Source organism: Homo sapiens, chromosome X (genome assembly GCF_000001405.40).
Source record: "Homo sapiens chromosome X, GRCh38.p14 Primary Assembly".
Taxonomy (NCBI): Eukaryota; Metazoa; Chordata; class Mammalia; order Primates; family Hominidae; genus Homo; species Homo sapiens.
The window spans coordinates 48,076,193-48,082,192 of NC_000023.11; the positions used below are offsets into that span (position 1 = coordinate 48,076,193).

The 6,000-nt window shown below is 42.3% G+C and overlaps 1 non-coding gene across 1 annotated transcript; it reads left to right on the forward strand.

Annotated features, from left to right (window-relative positions):
* On the forward strand, positions 5,575-5,678 carry LOC124905272 (small nucleolar RNA U13). The gene has a single exon (XR_007068436.1). It is a non-coding gene; the product is annotated as a small nucleolar RNA U13 (small nucleolar RNA).
* Positions 5,679-6,000: the final 322 nt, after the last annotated feature.

A 6,000-nucleotide genomic window follows, 5' to 3' on the forward strand; every position in this document is an offset into this window, starting at 1 on the left:
CATAAAGAGAAAACTGAACAGTCCAGGCACAGTGGCTCACGCCTGTAATCCCAACACTTTGGGAGGCTGAGGCAGATCACTTGAGGTCAGGAGTTTGAGACCAGCCTGGCCAACATGGGGAAACCCCATCTCTATTAAAAATACAAAAATTAGCTAGGCGTGGTGGCACATGCCTGTAATCCTAGGTACTCAGGAGGCTGAGGCATAAGAATCACTTGAAACCGGGAGGGGGAGGTTGCAGTGAGCAGAGATCACACCACTGCACTCCAGCCTGGGCAACAGAGTGGAACTCCATCTCAAAAAAAAAAGAAAGAAAGAAAGAGAGAAAACTGAACAGAGAACCAGGTGCAAGGTCAGGCCTGAGTGGCAGTGAAAGTGGAAGAGTTAACACAGGACCAAGATCAAGGCTCAGATCTGAAGGCCATAGATGGCAGAAATGTGACCCAAGGCCTAGATTCAGTGTGGAGAAGAGAGGACACATAATCTGCTGTGTAGCCCTAACTAAAGCCACAATCATGTCTAGACTTCATCAGTGTTATGCAGTAGCTGCTGTGCACTGAATTGTGTTCCCTCAAAATTTGTATGTTGAAGACCTAACACCCTACATGACTGCATGGGAGATACGGCCTATAAGAAGATGATTAAGGTTAATGATGTCAGAAGGTGGAACCCTGATTGGAGACAAGTGTAAGAGACCCAAGAGATTCTCTCTCCGCCATGTGATGACACAGCATGAAGGCAGCCATCGGCAAGCCAGAAAGAGAGGCTTCACCAGAAACCAAACCTTTCTGGAACCTTGATCTTGGACTTTCCAGCCTCCAGAACTGTGAGAAAATAAATTTCTATTGTTTAAGCCATCTAGTCTATGGTATTTTGTTATGGCAACCTAAGCAGACTAATACAGTAGCTATGTACATCTTTAAGATTTCTCTCAAATATGTGGGAAACTATGTATGACAGGACCCCTGGAAGTTAAGAATTTTCATGATGATCAAAGCCCTTCTCAATAATTTTTTGATGCTTCTCTCTAGACATGTCCACAGGAATTTTTAAAAATAAAATGTTTAGGCAGAGCACAGTGGCTCAGGCCTATAATTCCAACTCTTTGGGAGCCCAGGGCAGGAGGATAGCGTGAGCCCAGGAATTGGAGACCAGCCTGGGCAACCTAGTGAGATCCCATCTCTACAAAAAATGTAAAAATAATAATAATAAAAAATAAAATAATCTTTACAAAAATTTCTGATGCAGTAAGTAATGCCTTTCATGCATACTCCTGGACTCTAGACCCAGAGCTTCTGATCCAATAAGTCAAGGATGAGGTCCAATACTCTGCATTTATTTTAATGCTTTATTTGGAAATAATTTCAAACTTACAGAAAAAGTTGCAAAAATAGTACAAAGAACTCTCATATACCCTTCATCCAGATTCTCCAAATGTGATTATTTTATCCTATTTTCTTTACATATATATAACATATATGTACATATATATGGTGCATATTATATATATATATATACACATAATTTTTTCTGAATCATTTAAATATAAATGTCTGTTGCAGGAAGTCAGGGACCCCAAACGGAGGGACTGGCTGAAGCCATGGCAGAAGAACGTGAATTGTGAAGATTTCATGGACATTTATTAGTTCCCCAAATTAATACTTTTATAATTTCTTATGCCTGTCTTTACTGCAATCTCTAAACATAAATTGTAAATATTTCATGGACACTTATCACTTCTTCAATCAATACCCTTGTGATTTCCTATGCCTGTCTTTACTTTAATCTCTTAATCCTGTCAGCTGAGGAGGATGTATGTCGCCTCAGGACAATATGATAATTGCGTTAACTGCACAAATTGTACAGCATGTATGTTTGAGCAATATGAAATGTGGGCACCTTGAAAAAAGAACAGGATAACAGCAATTGTTCGGGGAATAAGAGAGATAGCCTTAAACTCTGAATGCCGGTGAGCCGGATGGAACAGAGCCATATTTCTCTTCTTTCAAAAGCAAATGGGAGAAATATGGCTGAATTCCTTTTCTCAGCAAGGAACATCCCTGAGAAAGAGAATACGCACCTGGAGATATAGGCCTATGAACGGCCCCCCCAGGTGCACCTGTCTTTTATGGTCAAGACTGCAGGGGTGAAATAAACCCCAGTCTCCCATAGCACTCCCAGGCTTATTAGGAAGAGGAAATTCCCACCTAATAATTTTGGTCAGACCGGTTGCTCTCAAAACCCTGTCTCCTGATAAGATGTTATCAATGACTATGGTGCCCGAATCTTCATTAGCAATTTTAATTTCACCTTGGTCCTGTGGTCCTGTGATCTCGCCCTGCCTCCACTTGCCTTGTGATATTCTATTACCTTGTAAAGTACTTGATGTCTGTGACCCACACCCTATTCGTATACTCCCTCCCCTTTTGAAACTCCCTAATAAAAACTTGCTGGTTTAACGGCTTGTGGGGCATCACAGAATCTACCGACATGTGATGTCTCCCCCGGACGCCCAGCTTTAAAATTTCTCTCTTTTGTACTCTGTCCCTTTATTTCTCAAGCTGGCCGATGCTTAAGGAAAATAGAAAAGAACCTATGTGAATATCGGGGTAGGTTCCCCAATAAATGTCAGCCTGGCAAGGTGGCTTAGGCCTATAATTGCAGCACTTTGGGAAGTCAAGGTGGGATGATCACTTGAACTAAGGAGTTCGAGACAAGCCTGGGCAACATGGCAAAATCCCATCTCTACCAAAAATACAAAAAATTAGCCAGGTGTGGTGGCACATACCTGTGGTCCCAGCTATTCAGGAGGCTGAGGTGGGGGGATTGCTGGAACCTGGGAGGTGGAGGATGCAGTAAGCCGAGATCATGCCTCTGTACTCCAGTCTGGGCAACAGAGTGAGACTCTGTCTCAAAAAACAAACAAACAGAAACAATAAATGTCCCTAAATACTAGTGTGTTTTTGCTAAAGAAAAACAGAGAAAACAGGACATTGCCTTATATAACCATAATATAATAATCAAAGTCAAGAAATTAACATTGATACAGCACAATTATCTAATCTTTAAACCTTTTTGGGCTGGGTGCGGTGGCTTGAGCCTGTAATCCCAGCATTTTGGGAGGCCGAGGTGGGTGGATCACTTGAGGTCAGGAGTTGGAGACCAGCCTGGCCAACGTGGTGAAATCCCATCTCTACTAAAAATGCAAAACTTAGCTGGGTGTGGTGGTGGGTGCCTGTGATCCCAGCTGCTTGGGAGGCTGAGACAGGAGAATTGCTTGAACCCGGGAAGCAGAGAGGTTGCAGTGAGCCAAGATCATGCCATTGCTCTCCAGGCTGGGTGACAAGAGTGAAACTCTGTCTCAAAAAACAAAAACAAAACCTTTTCAAAATATGCCAATAGTCCCAATAATGTTCTTTACAGCAAAAGACAACTTTTTTTCTGTTCCTGGATCCAGTCTAGATTCTGCTTTGCATTTACCTGTCTCATCTCTTCAGTCTCCCTTAATCTGTCCTTTCTTCATCTTTTATGACATTGGCCTTTTTTGAAGGACATAGGCAGGTTGTTTTGCAGAATGTACCTTGGGTTCATACTGACATCTCTGATTCCAGTCCAAGGTCTCAGGATTATTTTAGCCCTACCTCCTTTCCAGATTTGTAATGCCTTTCTCAGACAGTGAGAAACATGGCTCTCATTATCTCTATTTTACTCATTTGTTCAATCCTCATATACACATAAAGTAGTCTCAGAATTCCTAACCATACCCCTGTGTTAAAAAAAAAATCACTAACTAAATTACAAAATTTGGCTGGGCATGGTGGCTCATGCCTGTAATCCGAGCACTTTGGGAGGCCGAGGTGGGAGGACCACTTGAGCACAAGAGTTAAAGATTAGCCTGAGCAACATAGGGAAACCCCATCACTATTTAAAAAATAAAAATAAAAAAGTACAATATTTGCATACAGTCATTTTTGATTTTTGTCTTATAGTATCCAGTCAAAATAACTGTTTCCCAAAGTTACTCAGATTAGCTATTTTCTTCCTCATGCCCGTTAGCGTGGTTATGTTATTCATTTGTAATATACTTAGGTTCCTTTGTTTCTATTTATGTTCCATTTTGGGTCCCCCCAAGCCTAGTTTATTTTAATGTATTTATTTTTTCACCTACTTCCTCACTTTTCTATATCTATTTTTGCAATATGTGAAACACTACTATGCTTTTAAAAGAGGCAAAACTATACCAAAAGAATAAAAGTGTTCCTCCCTGCTCATCCCTACTTCCCATCCCCTCCTTTCCACCATGTTCCTACCCATCCCCTTTAGGTAAAAATCTCGTTCATTATTGTTTCATGCGCAAGCTCAGGATGAAAGTGTTGGGCCTTGGGAGGTGGATTCCCATGATTCCATGCTCCGGTTCCCTTCTGCAGTAAATGTATCCAAAGGCCTGACCGTGCTTCTTAGATTTCCTGGGTGTAATGTATTGAAGAGGGTGGGGGAATTCACCTGAGCGCATGGTTGTGGGATCACCCAGAAATTGAGGAGTTTCACTATTTTATTTAATTTAGGGTTTAAAAAGTTAAAGTGTGTTCCATATACCTGCAAGAAAACAGCCAGTTTATGGCAAAAACGGTGCTATCTTGAAGCAAATCCACCATCATGATCAACGTTTGACTCCTGCATACCGAAGTGTTCTGCAGCAAGGTTTTTAAACAGTTCCTGCAGTATAGATAACCTTAATAATAAGCTTATTTAACCTGCCCAGTTTTCTTTCTCTTTTCTTTTCTTTTTTTTCTTTTCTTTCCTTTCTCTCTCTCTTTCTCTCTTTCTCTCTCTTTCTTTCTTTCTTTCTCCTTCCTTCCTTCCTTCCTTCCTTCCTTCCTTCCTTCCTTCCTTCCTTCCTTCCTTTCTTTCTTTCTTTCTTTCTTTCTTTCTTTCTTTCTTTCTTTCTTTCTTTCTTTCTTTCTTTCTTTCTTTCTCTCTTTCTTTCTCTTCCAGAGTCTCGCTCTGTCACCCAGGCTGGAGTGCAGTGGTGCGATCCTGGCTCACTGCAACCTCTGCCTCTCGGGTTCAAGCAATTCTCCTGCCTCAGCCTCCAGAGTAGCTGGGATTACAGGTGCCTGCCACCCACACCTGGCTAATTTTTACATTTTTAGTAGAGACAGGGTTTCACCATGTTGGCCAGGCTGGTCTCAAACTCTTGACCTCAAGTGATTTGCTCGCCTCGGCCTCCCAGTGTTGGGATTACAGGTGTGAGCCACTGTGCCCGGCCTCCCCAGTTTTCCAGAGTTTTGGCAAGCAAGTCTAAGACCAGACTGGCTGGACGTGTCTTTACTCTAAAAGCATGCTATAGAAAGAATACTTTCTGATGGGCGGGTGCGGGGTTCCACCCTCTTAGAGCTCCCTGAGATGGCCTGCATTCCTAAGTCCCTATTAAATATTCCTTTCTGAGAACTGGGTTTGTCAGCCTTATTCTTCTGCCTTTCAGTTCCCTTGGCCTTTAGGGGTGGGTTTGCGTATACCAGCTACTGTGGAACATTTGCTGAGCCAGGCAGGAGCTGAAGAACTAAGAAATTGATCCTTTTGTAGTTCCTAAGCATGATGATTGGGTGTTCATGTGCTTATGTGAGATGTGCCTTTCTCAAACCTTGTTATGACATCAGCACATTATTCATCTGATATGAAAAAAAAAAAAAGAAATGGGTAAGGGGAATGAAGCATCTGTGCGTGAAACTCCAGGGTGGCCAGCAACATCTATGTGGGGTGGTGTGACACCTCTGTTAGATGCTTGTGGACCTCCGCATGAGTAATGGGACATCCCGAAAACTCAAAAGGAGTTATTAACTGAAAGCCATATAGTGCACTGCGATAGGGAAGGGTGGTGGATAACCTATCCAGTGGGCTGGCCACTTCTCTGGGCTGTTCATTTGGCATTGGAGGCCCAGCTAGCAGCAGAGATGAAAATTAAATGGCTAGGGAAGGAATTGCAACAAGAAAAAGACA